The sequence below is a fragment of the Homo sapiens genome, chromosome 7, assembly GCF_000001405.40.
Source record: "Homo sapiens chromosome 7, GRCh38.p14 Primary Assembly".
Taxonomy (NCBI): domain Eukaryota; kingdom Metazoa; phylum Chordata; class Mammalia; order Primates; family Hominidae; genus Homo; species Homo sapiens.
The window spans coordinates 128,204,685-128,225,081 of NC_000007.14; the positions used below are offsets into that span (position 1 = coordinate 128,204,685).

Genomic DNA, 20,397 nt, shown 5'->3' on the forward strand with positions numbered 1-20,397 from the left:
GGTTTCCCCCATGCTGTTCTCTGATAGTGAGGGAGTTCTCAGAGATCTGATGGTTTTATAAGGCAGTTTTCCCTGCTCTTGCTCTCTCTTTCTCTGTTACCTGCTGCCATGTAAGACATGCCTGCTTCCCCTTCCGCCATGATTGTAATTTTCCTGAGACCTCCCTAGCCATGCAGAACTGTGAGTCAATTAAGCTTCCTTTGTTTATAAGTTACCCAGTCTCAGGTAGTATCTTTATAGCAGTGTGAAAACAGACTAATACAGAGGGCCATCTGTGTTATGCAGTCTACTGATTCAGATGTTAATCCCATCCAGAAACACCCTCAGAGACACACCCAGAATAATGTTTGACCAAATACCTGGGCAGCCTGTGGCCCAGTCAAGTTGACACCTAGAATTCACCATCACAGCTTCTCTGAGAAGGTATCACTTTGAGAAGAAACCTAGTGAGGAGTGGGGGTGAGCCATGGGGTTGAGCCACGGGGATCTATAGGAGAAGAGCATTCAAGCAGTGGTGACAGCATGCGCAAAGGCCCTGAGGCAGAGGCATGGTTGGCCATGTGAGGCCCAGCAGGGAGGCCAATGTGTCTGGAAAGGAGTGAACATGATGGGTGGAAGGGGAACATGGTCCAAGAGGCAGCAGAGAGTGGGGTCCGGGTGGGGTGCACACAAGATTGTGCCTGGCTTTATCATCGATGGTAGGGACTGGATTTTATTCTGAGTCAGATGGGAAGATATTGGCAGGGGAGGGGGGTGGAGGGTTTAAGCAGAGGAGAGACTGGTCTGACATTGTTTTTATTTATTTATATTTATATTTTTTTTTAGAGATGGGATCTCACTCTGTCACCCAAGCTGTAGTGCAGTGGTGTGACCGTGGCTCACAGCAGACTTGAACTCCCGGCCTCAAACCGTTCCCCCGACTTCAGCCTCCTGAATAGATAGGACTACAGGTGCGTGCCACCACACCCAGCTAACTTTTTAATTTTAATTTTTTGCAGGGACAGCGTCTGCTATGTTGTCCAGGCTGGTCTCAAATTCCTTGCCTCAAGCGATCCAACTGCCTCAGCCTCCCGAGTCACTGGGATTACAGGCATGAAGACATTGTTTTCAAGGGATCACTCTGCTTTGTGGAGACTAGACTGTGAGGAGCAAGCCTCGAAAGGGGAGAGCTGTTTCGAGGTAAGAGATGGTGGCTGGTGGAGGGGGTGAGAAGCAGGTCAGAGTCTTTTCAAAGACATAACAATGTTTGCTGATGGCGAGGTAAAGTGACAGGAAGGAGCCAGAGAGGACTCTGAGGTTTTTGCCCTAAAGCTGGAAATAGGACTTTCATTTCCTGATGTAGGAACAGGTGAGATCCCACAGGGAAAGCCCACAGCACTGTGCTTCAAGTGAGCACTGGATACACGGAAGTGCCGGACATGCAGAATCCACGGAGGAGAAGCCTTGGAAGAGGAGGCCCCCGGGGATGCCAAGAAGAGAGCACCCTCAGTGGGGGCAGGCCCCTGTGTAGGTGCCGGAGGGACCTGCCATGCTCCCCGCTGCCCTCACTAGCCCTGCCTAGTGGCCCAGGCTCTTTGGCCTGTGTGGCTCAGCTCAAGCCCACCAGGAGGGTGTCTGCGCCCCGCCACCACGAATCAATATTGTCCCTGTGTTGGTTCTGCCCCAGGCTGCAGCAAAGAAGGTGGGGCAGGAGGGAGTTAGGGACTGGAGTTCCAAGAGATTTCATGGGAACCATGCTGGTGGGGGTGGGACCCAGCGATCCCAGGAGCAGCCAGCGCGGAAAGCTGGCTGTGGGCAATTCTCCATTCCGTGGAAGACCACAGTGCCCCCTCAAGGTGTACCTGGCTGCTGCCCCAGAGTCGCTGCCAGGTACAGGGGCTCGGGCTCCAAGATGAGCAGCTAAGAAGGAGAGGCCTGCTCCATGGGCAAGAAAGGGTTTTCTCCTCTTACTCCTGAGAGTAACCCAGGCCAACCCATGGGGAGGCAGATGGATGCCTGTCCCGGCACAGGCATCCTCAGAGTCTCTCTGTCCCCAGGTTCTCCACTGCAGCCTGCTCCACAGCCACGCCCTCCCATCCATGGCTACACACTCACATTCTGGGCCTCTTCCCTGGACCAGATTGCACAGCAGGGCCGCTCTCTCCAGTGCCTCCAGCTGGCCCCTGCTGACAAGTCCGTGTTGTGTCATGTTGGGAGTCTGGGCAAGGCACGAGGGCCCCTCTCTAGCAGGTCCCGATGGCTCCTCCACACCTTCAGGAAAAGCAAGAGATAAACCATTGCATGCTGAGCTCTGCAGGGAACTGGAGGCGGACACCATCCATTCTGCAAACCTGCAATGGTGACACTTCTGGAATCTCCTTGCCTCTTCCAGGGCTGCAGCCTCTAAGGCAGGTAAGACCCAGGCCAGGTTGGCTCAGGGACCTCTGTGTAGCATTGCTGACCTCATGTTATGGAAGCAGGAGGCCACTGTGAGATGCGGGGCTTAGCTGCCACCTTGGAGAAACAGCTCATTTGAGACAGCCAGGAGCAATTTAATCAGGCTAAGTTGGCCTGGCCCTGGGACCCCTGCCTTTTCCATGACAGCAGCGTCTGCTGAAAGCACATCAGAGCCCACACTTGCAAGTTCAAAGATGTCTGTCCCCAAGGTCTCAACCAGGGATGGCATCTTCTTCTTGGGGCACTTAGCATTTTGAGACTCTGGGAGAGTCCCCTGTGGGAACTGGGTGTACTGACACTGTGGAACCAAGGAAGCACCACGGCTGCAGAGAGACCCTGGGCCAGACCATCCAAATGAAGCCCAGGCACAGCAGAGGGCTCTGAGGAGGCGCAGGATGCAGGAGATGAAAGGGGAAAATGAAGGGGAGCCGCAGGTTCAAACTGCCCCTTCCCAGGAGTGAGCTACAGCTTGGCCACTTCTGTCTCATAAGAAGGAGGTTGTGACTTTGGGAGGTGGAGGGGGATTACAGCTGGGATTCCTGTTGCCTGCCTCCTGCCTCTGGGGCTCTCAGCTTTCTCTTCTCCCCAGGACTCTTTTCTTCCTCTCCCCCCACCTCCCCCCCCACTCCCCTCCTCCCCCTAGGTCCTGGCTCTCCCTCCCCGACCCGGTCTTCTTGGTACCAGCTAAGCCCTGGAGGGGCCACAGCCTCCCCTCCAGCCCCCCTGCCATGGGATGGCTGCTGTCTCCTTTGGATCTTTTTGCGGTCTGGGCTTGCTGTTCCTCTCAACAGTAGTCAGGAAGCCCTTACCCCAAAAAGTATCTGCGGGAGGCCTTGTCCACAGGGGAGGCTGCCCCAAGGGCTCCAGGTGAGTCACAGCAAACCCAAGAACAGTGAATGGAACTGGGGTCTCCTGGCTCTCCTTTAGAGTTGCTGAGTGACTTTAAGTCCAGCACTGAGCCTCTCTGGGCCTCACTTATGCCACTCTTTTCATCATTTACCAGTGGGCAATGTCAAGTGAGAGACTCCACAGATAAGAAAAATAAAGGAGTGGCTCAATTACATGCCAGGGAAAACCGCTTTGGTGGATGAAGGTCACACAGCTCTCCCAGCATTCTGTCCTCTGTATACAGATGATCTCCTTCTGAAATCCTTTTGGGGATGACCCCCTTCCACACCATGGACACTTCTGGGTGGGTTGTCACTCAAGAGGTCCTGCCCTCTTCTGCCCACTGGGTGGACACAAGAATTGAAATCTGTAAAGGATACTGAGATTGGGAACAAAATAATTGATGCTGATTGATCCCAGCAGTGTATGGCGAGAAGATGACAAGCTTCCACTGCCTGTATCACTGACTTGCCTAATGTCTGCCCTGCCCTGGCCTGGATCTTAACCGCGCCCTTCATTCTGTGAACTACCCCCAAATCCTTCAAATAAAGTCCTTGATTGCTTGTTAGAGTCAATAATATTGCTTGCTGAGGATCCAGAGACCTCTAGAGAGAGGAGGTGGAATTGCACACCCTGGGAAAGAGGAAGGTGTGAGTTACCATCCCTGGGGGAGGCCCCACAGGTGTCAGCCCTCAGGGGGCAGGGGACTGACAGGGGACAGAGCTGACAGCAGGGGTCATATACAAGAGTTGGGTTGGGGGCCTAAGGAAACTTCCCCAAAGGTGAGAACCATGTTGGGATAAAGGACAGAGGAGGACCTATATGATATGGAGAGAAGTGAAATACAGCTAAGTGGGGTCCTCACCTCTAAAGAGGCCAGGGGCCGGGCACATCTGTAATCCCAGCACTTTGGGGAGCCGAGGTGGACAGATCACTTGAGGTCAGGAGTTCAAGACCAGCCTGGCCAACATGGTGAAACCCCGACTCTTACTAAAAATACAAAAATTAGCTGGGCATGGTGGCGCAAGTCTGTAATTGCAGCTACTTGGGAGGCTGAGGCAGAGAATCGCTTGAACCAAGGAGACAGAGGTTGCAATGAGCCGAGACTGCGCCACTGCACTCCAACCTGGGTGAGAGAGCAAGACTCCATCTAAATAAATAAATAAATGGGGCAGAAAACAGGTTATGCCAATTACAGGTTGTTGTAGATTCCCAGTCCCTCCTCCTCATGCCGGATAGCTGGGGGATCGACACTGCAGCCGCGGTGAGGCCACGGCAGGTCAGGAATGACCACACGGACATCCATCTTGTTGTCCACCACTGACAATGAGACGGATGACCAGGCTCCCGAGTGCCGAGTGCCGTAGTGCTCTGCGGCCAGGAAATGGCCAGGGGCCAGGGACCCTCCTTATCTGGAATCCTCCCACTCGGCCCTGGGGTGGCCACTTGTGCCGAGACAGCCCAAGGTTGGGGGCGTGGCATCAGGCCTCCCCAAGGCCTTTACTGCTGCAGAGCCACAGCCCTCAAGAAACAAGGCCCCTGGAAGATTCCTTCCCTAAGCAGAAGCTGCTGGAGGCCATTTTAAGGCAATATGTGAGCTGGCGTGTCGCCTGCAACTGAGTTCAGAGGTGCTAAAGGATCCTGAGTGGGGCTGGGGGTTTGCTGTGGAGGTTCAGGAAGAAAGGCTGGGTTTACGGGTCCAGGAACAATTACTGCAGGTTTGTGAGGCCAACCGAGCCCCCACTAGGTGACAGCCAGACAGCAGTGGGAGAAGGGACGATGGCGACGAGCAAAACGGCACGGCTGAATAATACCTGTGACCACGGGAGCTCCTGCCCCTGATGCTATCCTGACCCTCCCCATCCCACCCAGCTGCAAAGCAGTTGTTGCTCTGCCACCTGCTGCCAGCATGCGGGTGGGAATGCGTGTGCAGCTCAAGGGTGGCATCGTGTGGTCATAGTGGGGTAGTGCACCTCACAGCTTCCAAAGAGCTTCATTCTGCGGAGTCACTCAAGGAATTTTGAGTCTATGTGCCAGACTCTGTTCTAGGACTGCAAGATCTTTCCTAACAGAATCAGAGTTTTTGTGAGGAGCAGTCTTGAGGGGTGCAGAGCCTGAGAGGGGAAGGGGAGAAGAGAAGGAGAGAAGGAGAGAAGGAGGGGAGGTGGGAGGGGGAGGGTTGCTAGAGCCCCTTGGTGAGCGTGTCTACAGCCAGACTGCTCTAGGGCACCTTTCAAAGTGGCTTCTGGGTCCACATCTCAGGCATTTGACGACTTAACCCTTTGCATGAGCCTCGCAAATTGCAACTCAAATCCCTGCCACCCTAGAGAACCTATTCCCTCCAGAGGGAGAGGGACTCAGGAGAGGCACTATTCCAAAAAGGCTCCTGTTCCCAATGTTAAAGGAAAGAACCCAGACTTCAGAATCAATCCGATCTGGATTCAAATCTCAGGTTGTCCCTGCGCCAGCTATGTGGCCTCAGGAAAGTCCTTAGCCCTCTCTGTGCCTCGGTGTCCTCATCTGTAAAACAGGGAAAATCATGCCCCTCTGACAGGGCGGTGGGTTCTAGTCAGTGAAATAATGTCAGGACAATGGATGGTCCCCACCATAAAAAGCAAGGCCCCCGATTCTGTGTCCAGGGGTATCAGCTCTGGGGGGCATCTGCTTGGCTGCTCATGAGTGGCTGTCTTTCCACAGCTGTGTGGATGTGTCTGGCATTTAGCAGTCGGTTGTCTGAAATCAGCCATGGAGTTTTGCCCCCTGCTTTATTGCTCCCAAGCAGGTTCCTCACCTGCCGAGCGCCTGCGGCTGTGTGCCAAAGGCTGAGTGCGCCACAGCGAGGAGCAGCTGCCAGACCTGGAGTGAGCAGAGGGAGAAACTGGACTTCAGAATAATCAGAGCTGGATGCTAATCTCAGGTCCCACCTGCACTAGCTGTGTGGTCTCGGGAGAGTCTTACGGGTGGGAAGGACCAGGGCCTTGTGGGCTGAGAGGCTTGGGGAAGCCAGGGGGAGCCAGGTCCCCTCACTGCTCTCGAAGAACCGGCAGTGGTGTTGGAACTCCCAGAGCTGGAGAGGCTCAGGCCGGGAAGGGCTGTCCTGACCTGCGGGCCATCATGGCCTTTCGGGGAGGGAGGGAGGAGATGAAGAGGTGGCACAGAATTGACAAAGGAAAGGCAGGAATGAAAAGGAAGGTGGGGGAATGTGGAAGGCAAAATGAGAAGTCTCTCCGGGTGGCTGATGTCACCCTTTCTGATTGCTCGAGGTGCCAGCAGGGGCACCTTGGCAAGGTGTCCCCTCTCCCAGGAGGCTGAGACCAGGATCTGATCCAAGCTGGGCCACCTGGAGAGAGTGGCCTGAACTAGTCTCCATCATGCTCTGGGCCTGGGTTTCTGCATTTGTAAAATGAGAGGAATGTGCTGGATCAGATACAATCTCCTCTCCCACCAGGCCCACCCCACACTCGGCAGGAAAGCAAGGACTGGGGCCCCAACAGCTGTCCTTGAGAGTGGGAGCCGCTGAGGGCACAGGAAGGAGTTTTGGGGGCGGCAGGCAGGGAAGCAAGCAGGATGGGAACGCCAGGCTCTCAGGGGAAGGAACCAGATAAATCATCAGCAAGGAAAACCTATAGGTTTCCCCAAAGTACAATTTGAATAGAAATGTCAAATGCACCTGGAGTTATTACACCCTGTAATCCTAATGACATATAATCCTATACACCAACAGGATAATATCACGAGTGTGTGTGGCAACACTGCCGCATGTTAATCCTGCCTGCCTCCTGGGATGATCTTTCTCATCCCAGCAGAGCCTACAGAGCCTCCTTTGTTCTTCCCAGAAGTGGCCTCATCGGGCTGGACCTGGGGGAGGTGACCAAGGAAGTGAAAATCAAAGAGCCCAAGGAATGAAGCTGGCATGGCGCTAGTCAGGGGATGGACAGGTGTGGTTTGGTGCTTTCATTTTTTGCCTAATCTGGATGCATCCTAAGTCCCCTGGAAGTTGCCAGCCCCACATCAGCATCTGTGTTGAGGACCCTCTTCTCTCCCCGCCTACCCCCGCCCCTAACCCTTTCCTTCTCTCTCATTCTTCCTTTCCTGTATCCTTCCCTTTCTTCCCCAGCATCTATGCTCTGTTCTGCCAGGAGCACTCTCGGAGATATGGTTCGTCCTCTTGAGAGGGAAAGCCTCCTGGGACTCGCGTGCACCCGTCCTGTCCAGCTGCGCTCCTTAGTTGCGGGCCCTGGAGCCAGGGAAGGTGGGAGTGGACTTTCGCCTGAGGCAGCAGCTGCGTGGTTAGTGGTCTGTGGCCAGGGGGGCATTTCAAGGTAGGGCACAGAACTTCCAGGCCAGTGCACCAGCCCAAAATAGAGCCCTGGTTGGCTTTATCTACCGTGTAGCCTGTGCTGGTCCCCATGACATAAGCTTCTTTTGCTGTGAGACAGGAAATCTCTTTCTAGGCTCCTGGGGAGATGAGATTTTTCAGGTCAAAGTCTCAGAGTCATTCACACAATCCAGGAATCTCTTCCCAAACTCCATACTCCTATGCTCGGCCCTCCAAGGCAGTGATTCTCGAAGTAGGAACCACTTCAAGACCAGCAGCTCAGCACTACCAGGGATCTTATTAGAAATGCAAATTCTGCCAGGTGCGATAGCTCACACCAGTAATCCCAGCACTTCGGGAGGCCGAGGGGGCAGATCACTTGAGGTCAGGAGTTTGAAACCAGCCTGGCCAACATGGTGAAATCCTGTCTCTACGAAAAGTACAAAAATTAGCTGGGCATGATGGCGCATACCTGGAGTCCCAGCTACTCAGGAGGCTGAGGCAGGAGAATCGCTTCAACCCAGGAAGCGGAGGTTGCAGTGAGCTGAGGTTGCACCACTGCACTCCAGCCAGGACGACAGAGCAAGACTCCATCTCAAAAACAAAAACAAAAAAAAAAAAAACAGAAATGCAAATTCTTAGATCCCAGTGCCAAGGGTGGCTGGAGACAGTTTGTAACATCTCAGGAGAACCAATTGCACATGTCTCTTTCCTAACTCCACATTTAGTGACCATCACACTGGGGGCTTGAAATCAACCACGGTGAGAGTGTTTACACTGTGGAACATTACAAATCAGTGCTCATTTTTCTTTCTGAAAGCCCATTGTTAAACAGTTTCCAGCACACCACTGGACCCTACCCAGACCTACTGAACCAGAGCCCTGAAGGTGGAACCCCACAATCTGTGTTTCAATAAGCTTTCCAGGTGATTCTGATGCACATTCAAGTTTGAGAATCACTGTTCCCATGGGCCAGCTCTAGTGGTATCATAAGAAAGAAAGGAATGTGGGGGTGCCCAAGGAGTAGGATTTCACAAGGAAACTTTGGAAAAGGTAAAGAAAGAAGAGAGAAAGTAAACTAGGCCCTGGGGCCTTCCTCCAGGCAAAGAGGCAACCAGGCACTTGGCAGGAAATACCCCTGGACGGAGATGAGACCTGCAGCCCCAGGGAATGGAAGGAGGAAAGAGAATCTGGTGAGTAGGTGGGATGCAGCCAACGTCAAATAGTCATTTTTCCACGTATCCAGATGAGGGAGATGGCGTCAATTACTCTAAGTCATGAGATCGGAAGGGCACAGGATAATTGGCTGGAAAAATGCTCCTTTGGGTGCATATTTCTGTAACAAAGAAAAACACATTTATGAGCATTTGTTTTGTTTGTTTGAGGCAGGGTCTCACTCAGTCACCCAGGCTGGAGTGCAGTGGCACGATCATGGCTCACAGCAGCCTCAAACTCCTGGGCTCAAGCAATCCTCCTGCCTCAGCCTTCCCAGTAGCTGGGGCTACAGGTGCACACCACCATGCCTGGCTAAGTTTTGTATTTTTGGTAAAGACAAGGTCTCACTATCTTGACCAGGCTGGTTTTGAATTCCTGGGCTAAAAGGATTCTCCCACCTCAGCCTCTCAAAGTGCTTGGATTACACGTGTGAGCCACCATGCCTAGCCATGAGCATTTCACTGAAGATAGAAGGAAGAGAAATCCTACGAAGTGTTTTTCAGGGAAGGGATGAAAATGGAAAATCCTAGCAAATGCTCATTACTACTCATGTAAATGTGTGCAAAATGCCACTGGAATTTTCTTTCCTTTTTTCCGTTGTGAAATATTTCAAACATATAGAAAAAGACAAGGAGTAATATAACAAAAGCCTTGTACCTACCACCAGAAATAGCAAGTGCTACCATTTTGCCACATTTATGTCAGATCATTTTTTAAAAGAAATGAGACAGCCCAGGCACAGTGGCTCATGCCTGTAATCCTAGCACCTTGGGAGGCCGAGGTGGGAGGATTGCTTGAGCCTAGGAGTTTAAGACCAACCTGGGCAGCATAGCAAGACCCCATCTCTACAAAAAACAAAAAATTAATGGGGTATGGTTGTTCGTGCCTGTTTCAGCTACTCAGGAGGCTGAAGTGGAAGGACTGCTTGAGACTGGGAAGTTGAGGCTGCAGTGAGCCATGATCACGCTGCTACACTCCAGCCTAGGCAACAAAGTGAGACCCTGTCAAAAAAAAAAAGGAAAAGAGGAAAGAAGAAATAGAGAAAGAGAGAAGAAAGGAGAAAGAAAGAAAGAAAGTAAGAAAGAAAGAAAAAAGGAAGAAAAAGAGGAAGAAAGGAAGAAAAAAAGAAAAAAGGAAGAAAAAGAAGAAGAAAGGAAGAAAAAAAGAAAGAAAGAAAGAAAAAAGAAAGAAGGAAGGAAGGAAGAGAGAGAGAGAAAGAAAGAAAAAACCTTACAGACACAGTTGAAGTCTTTGTGCCCCTTTTCCTTCCTCCAACTGTCCTGAAGTTGGTAGGTATTCTCACACTGGTGCTCATACTTTACCATATATGTATTACTCGTAAATTACACCTAGCATTGCTTTGAGTGCTTCTTAATTTATGTAAGTGATGTCACACTAAACCCACCATTCTGGAACCTACTTTTTTTTCAGCTAAATTGTGTTTCCAAGATCGGTCCATGTTGATGCATGATACATTCATTTTTACTGCTGAATAACATGAAACTGTACAAAGATACCACAATCCATCCACTCACCTACTAATAGACATTTGTTTCCAGTTTTTCACCATCACAAATGATTCTGCAGTGGACATCCTTGAACATGCTTCTGTAGAGTAGACCCCTACAAGTGGTGTTGCTGGGCCGCAGGGAAGATGCGTTCCAGTTATTAGACATGCTGTCAATTTACTCGCTAGCTTGGCTGAGCCAGTTCACGCTTGTGCCAGCAGCAGACAAAACAACTGAAAATGTTATTTATTCAGTGTGCTCTTGGATTGGGCTCTCTTCTGAATGCAAAACCAATTATAAGGATTTTCTCTAGTTCGTTCCCGACCTTTGTTCTCCAATTCTACTTTCCCTTAAAGTCTTAAATTCTTTAGCCATAAATTCTTCTACAACTAGGGTTTTCCAGAATCTGACCTAGTGGCCAAGAAGAAATGACTGGTATGTGTGTTACAGGATGGAGTCGGGTATGTGTGTGTATGTGTGTGTGTGTCTGTGTTTGTAGCTTTGTACCAAAGCCAACAAGAAAGAACTGGAAGGACAAGACTTTCCATAGCATCTTTTAAATGATGCATCAAACCCAGGAAAGAGGGGTAACCAGTGTGACCCAGAATCCACTCTCAAGCTATAGGTCCTTTCCTCCCCCTCTTATTTGTTGGGGGTCAAGGGGGAGTTGTCCCAGGACATTACTCTGTGGCTCCATCTTCCCTGCTCCCCAAACCCACCAGACTCCAGACACTTCTCTAAGCTGTGTAAACCTAGGGGTGAGGGAAAGAGGTACTCTGTGCAGAGGAGGGGCAGCCCCATGTGTTCATCTGGGGTAAAGGGCTGACTTTTGGCCCCAGGCCTAAGAGCTCTCTGTCCATGCCAAAGATTCCTCCTGCATCTGGGCCTGTGGGGTTGGGAGAGCTGCCAAAATCCTAGACTGGGCAGTGACAGTGGAGAGCCTATATCTTGGCCACTGAGCCGATTCCTCAGCCCCAGGACCATACAGAAGTTGTCTGGAATTCCTTCCCTCACAGGCCCTGAAGCAGGAGCCTCCAAGGCCTCTGAAGTTGACTTGAGAAAAGGGGATGGGGGGATAAGGAGGGGGATAGGGATTCAAGGGACCACCACAAAGTTGCCTAGCTCAAACCAAAGACATTTCAAGAGGCAGGAACCTGAAGTGAATGAAAAAGCACAATTCACAGTTAAGCGAGAGTAGGGAGGGCCCTGACCCAAAGACTATTTTTGTGTTTTTTGTTTGTTTTTTAGGGTTTTTTTGAGATAGGGTCTCACTCTGTCACCCAGGCTGGAGTGCAGTGGTGCAATCACAGCTCACTGCAGCCTCCACTTCCGAGGCTCAAGCAATCCTCCTGCCTCAGCCTCCCCATAGCAGGGACCACAGGCACACACCACCACACCCGGCTAATTTTTAAATTTTTTTGTAGAGAAGGGATCTTGCTATGTTGCCCAGGCTGGTTCAAACTCCTGGGCTCAAGCAATCCTCCTGCCTTGGCCTCCCAAAGTGCTGGGATTACAGGAGTGAGCCACTACTCCTTTCTTTCTTTCCAACAGAAAGACTATTTTTGGATGGGATTTCTCCCCCAGCAAACACTTGAAGTGTGACCTACAGGAGTTGTTTGTTTGGAGGGGGGCATTTGTCCTTTATCAAAAAGATGAAACCTGGTTGGGTGTGAGTTTCTTGCCTGTAATCCCAGCACTCTGGGAGGCTGAGGCAGGAGGACTGCTTGAGGCCAGGAGTTTAAGACCAGCCTGGGCAACATAGGGAGACCCTGTATCAACAACAACAAAAAATTAAAAATTAGCCAAGCATGGTGGTGCACACCTGTAGTCCCAGCTACTCAGGAGGCTGAAGTGGGAGGATCTCTTGAGCCCAGGAGAACGAGGCTGCAGTGAGCCATGATCACACCACTGCACTTCAGCCTGGGCAAGAGAGTGAGACCGTATCCCAAAAAGGAAAACGATAAAGCATGAACATCTTGGCGTCCTTGTTCCACAGACTCCTTTTGGCCCAGAACAGTCTGCCCTTTGGGCAGCAGGTGGCTTGCTTCAGCCTGGAGGCCAGGAGGCCTACTCAGGCGCCCAGGGCGATTCACCAAGGGACCTCACCTCTGAGCCCCGCCTACCACCCAATGAGGACGCGCGGACATGACGTCACTGCATCCTGTTGCCCAGCCCAGACCAGGAGAATGGGACAAGCTGGAGAAAAGAGCCAGTGGAAGTGCCAGATGCCAAGAGAGAAGTTGGGGGAAAAAATGGTGGAGGGCAAATGAGTCAGCAGCAAGTTTAAGCAATGAACCATTGCATCACGGGGTGTTTCTCAAATTCTTGTCTACTTTTAGAAAAAGTACGCAATGACATTCAGTGGGCATCTTGATTCTGAAATAGCTAAAGAAAATGTTAAAAATGCAGTGGGTGAAGATGTGCCCACATTAACCTCTTTTCTAAAACAACAGTTGACAATTGTGCTACATGTCCTTAAGCAAATCTTTTAGCCTGCCTGTTCCTTAGTTTCCTCATCTGTGACATGAGGGGAATGTATGAAAAATATCTCTGGAGATTCCTTCCAGTCTAACATTCTGTGGTTTGATGATTGATACTATGCTCACATTCTTAATACTCAGGCTGTGTCTACACAGTGCCAAGACAACTAGCTAATTCAGTGAGTATGGACAAAATGTTCTTCCAATCAATTCTTTGGCACGCTGTAGACAAATTGGCACTTCTTTTCATTTTACAACTGGTTGCTCCGGCTTCTTCTTGACCAGTGCTTCTTCAATGGTGGTATCCTGACATGCTGTATGCCTGGAGCACTTAGGAGGTGTGTCCTAGGCAGTTGGCTATGGATAATGAACTGTTGAGGTTCTCAAATCGTTGATGACTTTTTTTTAATCAATTAGAACAGATTCAATATGGTCCTATAGTAATGCCCCTGCTGCTTAGTTGCAATCCGATATGCCTCCCTGAAAGGAAGAAGTGGTGGAATTACAGCTGCCGGACAGAGACTGCCTGTAGCCCTGACCCTGTTGGATGCCCATGGGAGGGTGTCATGTGTTGTGCATGTGAATGTCATTTATCATCTGCAACACAGCACTTGAGAATGACTGATGGAAACCCCTGAGACATGGTCGGACATCAAGGCACTGGAGACTCAGGCCCTGGAGAAATCTGAGCCAGCATCCTATGACGCAGGTGCAAACCAGGAAGAGTACAGAATGGAGGGCCTGTTCATTATGCCTGTCTCTTGGTCCAAAATGAATGATTTCACCATAATCTGTTCATAGCTGGGGAAGGAAAGGGGGCGTGAAATAGCGTTTATTAATCATGTAGGGGCCAAGCCCAGTGCCAGACACTCGTGGCAGGTTTTAGTGTTGCTCGCCATGTACTTTTTATTCTCAGCTGTCCAGGGGGATTACACTTCCTCCCTCTTGTGGTTTGGAAGAGTAATGTAAAATTCTGGCCAATGGGTTGTGGGTAGAAGTGACATGTACCAACTGAATGCCAGGGCATTTCGCTGATAGTTTTAGACCCTCCAGAGCTCCCTCTCCCTCTAGCATGGGAACTGGCAACAGTCTGGTGGCTCTTCCATCACCAGCTGGAATCCTGGAATACTAGGAAACCGAGCTCCGAGAAGAGACATGAGGCGTGTGTATCATGCATTGCACGTGAGGATGGAGTAAAACTTTGTTGTTGTAAGCCACCAAGATTTTCAGGCTGCCTATAACTGCAGCACAACCTAATTTTGTGCTGTCTGATGCCATGTTTTATATAACATGGTAGTGTAGTAGAAAAATGTGAGCCTTAGAGTTTAAAATGCTGGGCACGATGTCTCACGCCTGTAATCCCAGAATTTTGGGAGGCCAAGGTGGGAGGATGGTTTGAGCCTGGGAGTTCGAGACCAGCCTGGGCAACATAGTGAGACTCCATTTTATTTTACTTTTTAAAAAAATAAAATAACAATTTAAAAAATAGAGATTAAAAGACATGAGCTAAAACCTAAACACTCACTGACTGTGAGCAAATCTGTTAGCTTCTTTGAGTCTCAGTTTCTTCATCTATAAAATGGCACGATGTTTTTATTAGGTTCGGAAATAATATTTAAAAATATCTAGCACAGGATTTGGCACATAGTAGATGCTCAGTTACAATGATTATAATTTCATGTATTCCTCAAAATAATACTATGAGTAAAGAGAGGGTATGGGTGTAAGAGAAAGGATAGTCATTACTGATGTTTCAAATGCCGTCATACACTATGGAGAACACTGACCAGGGACCCCAAGGGTAGGGGAAGGTTTGAAGTCATCTGTGTCCACCCTCCCCTGAACTCAGAGAAGTCCTAGAAGGGAGAGAAGGCCTGAAGACACCATTTACAATTTAGCCTTTCCACTGCCAGAGGAAAAGCAGATTCTACTTATGGTAGTGACTATTGACACCTTCAGCATATAAAATAAGAATATAGCAGTGGAGTGAGTTAGTGTCCCTGTTAGTTTCACTGAAGCTTGTTATCCTAGCAAAGCGCCAGCCAAGGTCTTTCCCAAAGGCGCAATGAACTAAACTCTTCTCTGAAATCAGCTTATTAGTATTATCATGACCACTTCAGCTAGCTCACCCAGGACCTGGGAATGAGCTGGAGAGTGAACTACAGAGGAAGGGAGAGAAAGAGAATATCCTCAAGGCAGCAGGGGATTGAGGGGTCCTTTGTCTCCTCCTGCTTCCCAGCAAGTCTTGCCTGATGGAGGAACAAGAGCAGTCAGAGGACGGGGTGGGGAAATTCCAATTCTGTGTGTCCTTCCTTCACCATGCCAGCTGCTCTGGAAACCTCCAGTTCCAGGTCAGATGCCTGCTGCAGTTCCCACTTATATTTAATTTGGTAGAGTATATCTCCTCCAATCCCAGTTTTCTCCAAGGTCTGCTCCCAGATCATCGTTTGCCTCTTAAATACCACATCCTAGCCATGAACTTGGAATTCTGAACATTCAATGGCCTGCCCCCTTGGAACGCCTCAATTCTGCCTCTGGGATGAAAGTTCCTTGCACGTTTTCACACACATGGAGTGCAGAGAGTCACTGAGGACCCAAGGAGAACTTGAACATCACCTTGACCACCTGTCATCAGCAGGAAGTCAGGCTGGAAGCACTTGTTGAAGCCCCCACAACCTTTGGTGAATGAAAAATAGAGATGTTCCATTCCAGACAAAGCACTGCATGCTTGGGCAGCTGTTCCACCTGCCACCAATCCAACCCGGATTTGCTCTTCACTGACTTTTCACTTTTCCACGCAGACCAAGACCCCATGAAAATGCCCATGGCCAGTGGGGTGACTGATTTCCAGCAAATGTGTGGTCCTTCTAAATTGGGGAGGTTTACCAGAAGCATGTATTAGATGAACATGGATTTGTGACCTGTGCTCAGGTCCCTGTTAGTTTCACTGAAGCTTGTTATCCTAGGAAAGCACCAGCCGAGGTCTTTCCCAAAGGTGCAATGAACTAAACTCTTCTCTGAAATCAGCTTATTAGTATTATCATGACCACTTCAGCTAGCTCACCCGGGACCTGGGAATGAGCTGGAGAGTGAACTACAGAGGAAGGGAGAGAAAGAGAATATCCTCGAGGCAGCAGGGGATTGAGGGGTCCTTTGTCTCCTCCTGCTTCCCAGCACAGCTTTAAACCCTGTGCTCAGGGTTTAAAGCATGGCGAGAATGGAAACCGGATGGTGAGATTGAGTCCTGGTGGGGCTAGTTGACTTCATTTTGATCAAGATCACAGATTTTACCCCTGACCCAGATTAAAATCTATAAAATGGGCTTTTGTGACCATGAGAGACACAAGCAGTGACGTGCAGGAGCAGACTTATAGTGGCTTGTGAGAGCCAGGTGTAAAATATTCTGGAGCTTTGTAAGCCAATTTTTAAAATCATTAGTAGCTTGAAATCTATCGTGGTGCAAGTATTTATACCATGGAAATTGGTAAACCCCTACAAATCGGGGTTTCTCTTCCTCCTTCCCTCCTCCTCCTTCTTTGTGAGAGCTAGTTTACCAAGGCATGTGTGTCTTCTCGCAAAACCATTCTTTCATTGGAAAAACTATTCCAGATATGGGATCAGGGGAACAGTTTTGTATATGGGAAGAACATAGCTCTCTGGAATCACAGACAGCTTTGAGGACTCAAAAAAAAAAATCAACAACCAACTTTTAACATTGATAGAAACTTTGATTAGATAGGGAGTTGTGGCTTCAGTGACTGTGCTGAGATTTTAAATTTAAAAGATCTTGCTGAAGTGAAAATTACATGTAAATGTTGGGTTGTATAGCACTGTAGGAGTCTGTAAAAAGAGCTGTAGTAATGTTCTGTAAAAAGTCTTTATTGAATTCTCAGTAGAGCAGTGGTCTGTCGTTGATGTGGCTTCCAGGGAGGGAGCATCTGGCCCCCAATCCTTGCAGAGAGGGGCTGACACCCGGATTGCTGCTGACTGTGCCCACTGCTGTGGGGGCTGCTGCAGGAGGGAAAAAGAGCTTTGAATAATCTGTTACGAGCTCAACCGTGTCCCCTAAAATTCATACATTGAATTCCTAATCACCAATGTAACTGTGTTTGGAGATAGGATCTTTAAGGAGGTGATTAAGGTTAAATGAGGTGGGGCACCAATCCAATCTGACTGATGTCCCTATCAAAGAGGAAATGTGGACACACAGAGACACACTGGGGATGAGCATGCATAGAGAAAAGGCCACATGAGGACACAATGAGAAGGTTATGTCTGCAAGCCAAAGAGAGAGGCCTCACCAGAAACTAAGTCTGTGGGCACCTTGATCTTGGATTCTCAGCCCCAAAACTGTGAGGATGTAAATTTCTGTTGTTTAAGCCAGCTCATCTGTGGTATTCTGCTATGGCCGTCCTAGCTGGCTAATACCATCTGCAATCCAGATTGCTTATTTCTGTTCTTATCTGTTGATTGATCAGTTTTACAGGGTAATTGACCTTCCTCCACAATTCTTCAGGCTCTCCTAACCCTGCCTGAGATTCTCAATGTGCCTAGTCACCCAACTGTGACACCAAGGGGTGGGGCCATGGAGACTGACTCAGAACTTGGCAGGTTACCTTAGGGGGTGACAGTCAGATTGAACGTGTGTAGAACTTAGCTCTGCCAGCATTTAGCTGCAGAATCATGAGCAAGCCTTTGTCCCCTTTATGCCTCAGCGTCCTCATCTGTAAAATGGAGGCAAAAATATTCTCCCTTATAAGATTATGTTGATGATAAAACAAGATCATGGAAGGATAAGCACGTGGCACAGTGCTCAGTGAGCACTCTCTTCTGAAGCGAAGCAGGCCTGGGGACAGCCTGGCTTAGAGATGGCTCTGCTTGCCCTAGCACTGGGTGGGTGGAGGAGGCATCGGGGGATGGGGAGGGTGCCTGAGAGGGCAGGGTCATTCCTCTCCAGGTGACCTGCACTGTGGGGAGCAGGTCACCTCACTAGGACAGTTCCTCCTGGGACCAAGACCTTCCCCCTGTTGAATTTTTCTCCCTTTGGTTGTTCCCTCACAGAACATGCTCTTCATGGAGAATACTGTGTGGCTTAAATAAGATAATCAAGTAAAAGCTTCACAGAGAGCCTGGCTTTCAGCAGGCACTCAATACATGGTAACGATTTCTACATCTGCAGTTCCTAAAGCAGCTTTCACGCCACCCCCCAGGGCAGCTGTAGCCACAGAATTGAGGCATAATTTGGACACTGTTGGTAGAAACAGCATTGGGTAACTTTATTAACCAATTTGGTTCAGCCTTATTAAGGAGGAGAGCTCCATTCATGCCAAAGGCTTCTCCAAGCCCTTCGCAAATAACCAGGATTCAACAGCCTGAACTCCCCCAAGAATGACTCCGTGCCAGAACACAGCACAACCCAGCAGTGTGGCCCTTCCTGATTCTCCCATCCTCCTTGCCACATGGGCTGATGGAGGCTTAGGTTCTGTGGCTTTACCGAGCTCCAACTCTCTTCCTGCACTTGAGCAAGAGCACTTGGTGACCTGGTGAGATGGTAGAAATGGACACAAGCCCTGACTCCTGGCAGGAGACTTCAGACTTGCAGCATGTGCTTAAACCACAGGAAACGGTGTGGCTCACAAGTGGTCTGAGCCCAGGAATGATGAACCCCATGATGCTGGGAGTTCATCTCATCGAGTCAGCTCTGTGACATTTGGGCCATGGAGCTGTGGACCCAGCTCTCCAGGAACTTCTGCCTGCAGTGACTGAAAGCTCTTTTGACACTTTTCTATTTTACTATCCCCTGGGATCCTGCTGAGCACACAGGGAGGCTTCAGTAGAAGTCACTTTGTGTCTCTGTGTCACCTTCTGATTAAAATAACTTTAAAAGTCATGTTCTGGGCCATGCACGGTGGCTCATGCCTGTAATCCCAGCACTTTGGGAGATTGAGGTGGGTGGATCACCTGGGGTCAGTTCAAGACCAGCCTGGCCAACATGACAAAACCCTGTCTCTACTAAAAACACCAAAAAAAAATTAGTCAGTCATGGTGCGTGCACCTGTAATCCCAGCTACTCAGGAGGCTGAGGCACGAGAACCACTTGAACTCTGGGAGTAGAGGTTGTAATGAGCCGAGATCGTGCCACTGCACTCCAGCCAGGGTGACAGAGCAAGACCCTATCAAAAAAAAAAAAAAAGGAATCAAAAAGAAAAAAAAGTCATGTTCTGGAATGGCCTGCTTCGTAGGTACAAAAGAGCAGGGTTTGCAGAGTCAGGCAAAATAAAGGGTTGGCTTGCAATCTAACCTTATCAGAGACCTGGTGGCTAAGGGACCCTTCTGTGGAGATTTGCGAGAATGTACTCAGCAGAGAGGTGAGGCTCAGAAATGAATTCAGGTAAGGAAAATCCTCTGCTGATTCAGAAAAAGGGCACTCACGAGTTTCTAACATTCTGGAAACATCACATGTTACTCTATTTACTCCCTATTTACTCTCTTTCTATCTGCAGGGCCCAAAGCAGGATGGAGATAAAGATGCCCAGAAGAAACCAAAGCCTTCTTGGGGGAAACTGTAAGAAGTCAGGAGGGAATTCTTTATTAGAAATTGAAGATCCCGCTGGGCGTGGTGGCTCATGCCTGTAATCCCAGCACTTTGGGAGGCCGAGGTGGACAGATCACCTGAGGTAGAAGTTCGAGACCAGCCTGGCCAACATAGCAAAACCCCATCTCTACTAAAAATACAAAAATTAGCCGGGCGTGATGGCACGCACCTGTAATCCCAGCTACTCAGGAAGCTAAGGCAGGAGAATCACTTGAACTTGGGAGGTGGAGGTTGTAGTGAGCCAAGATGGCGCCATTGCACTCCAGCCTAGGCAACAAGAGCGAGACTCCATCTCAAAAAAAAAAAAGAAAAAGAAAAGAAAAGAAAAAAAAAGAAAGAAAGAAGTTGAAGATCAAAGCTGGAGACCAGGACTCTTGACAAATCTGACCAGATTTGAAACACACCTAAGAAATGTAAGACTCAATTAATTCTACATGAGCCTAAGAATTAAACCAAATAAAGAATGACAACACAAGTAATGAGGATACTGGCTTATGCCTAGGTGTTTGTATTTCTTTAGGTCTAACTCCAACTGTATATCCTATTTTAAATTAATATTTGTTATTCTTTGTTTTTTGTTATTTTAATAAAAAGCTCTATTTAAATGTATTTAAATAACATTAGCCAGATGTGGTGGCTCATGCCTGTAATCCCAGCACTTTGGGAGGCTGAGGCAGGTGGATTGCTTGAGCTCAGGAGTTTGAGGACAGCCTGGCCAACATGATGGAACCACGTCTCTACAAAAATACAAAAATTAGCCAGGCATGGTGGCACACACCTGTAGTCTCAGCTACTTGGGAGGCTGAGGTGGGAAGACTGCTTGAGCCTGGGAGGTTCAGGCTACCATGAGCCTTGATCACACCACTGCTCTCAAGCCAAGGCAACAGAGTGAGACCCCATCTCAAAACAAAACAAAAAGAGAACACTAATGCCGTTAGAAAAGAATGCTTTCATTAC

General features: G+C 49.2%; 1 long non-coding RNA gene and 1 other non-coding gene across 2 annotated transcripts; both read left to right on the forward strand.

The window, feature by feature from the left end:
• Positions 1-1,611: 1,611 nt before the first annotated feature.
• On the forward strand, positions 1,612-19,925 carry LOC124901744 (uncharacterized). Its single transcript, XR_007060516.1, has 2 exons — positions 1,612-2,391; positions 19,349-19,925. It is a non-coding gene; the product is annotated as an uncharacterized LOC124901744 (long non-coding RNA).
• Positions 3,188-3,259, forward strand: MIR129-1 (microRNA 129-1). The gene has a single exon (NR_029596.1). It is a non-coding gene; the product is annotated as a microRNA 129-1 (primary transcript).
• Positions 19,926-20,397: the final 472 nt, after the last annotated feature.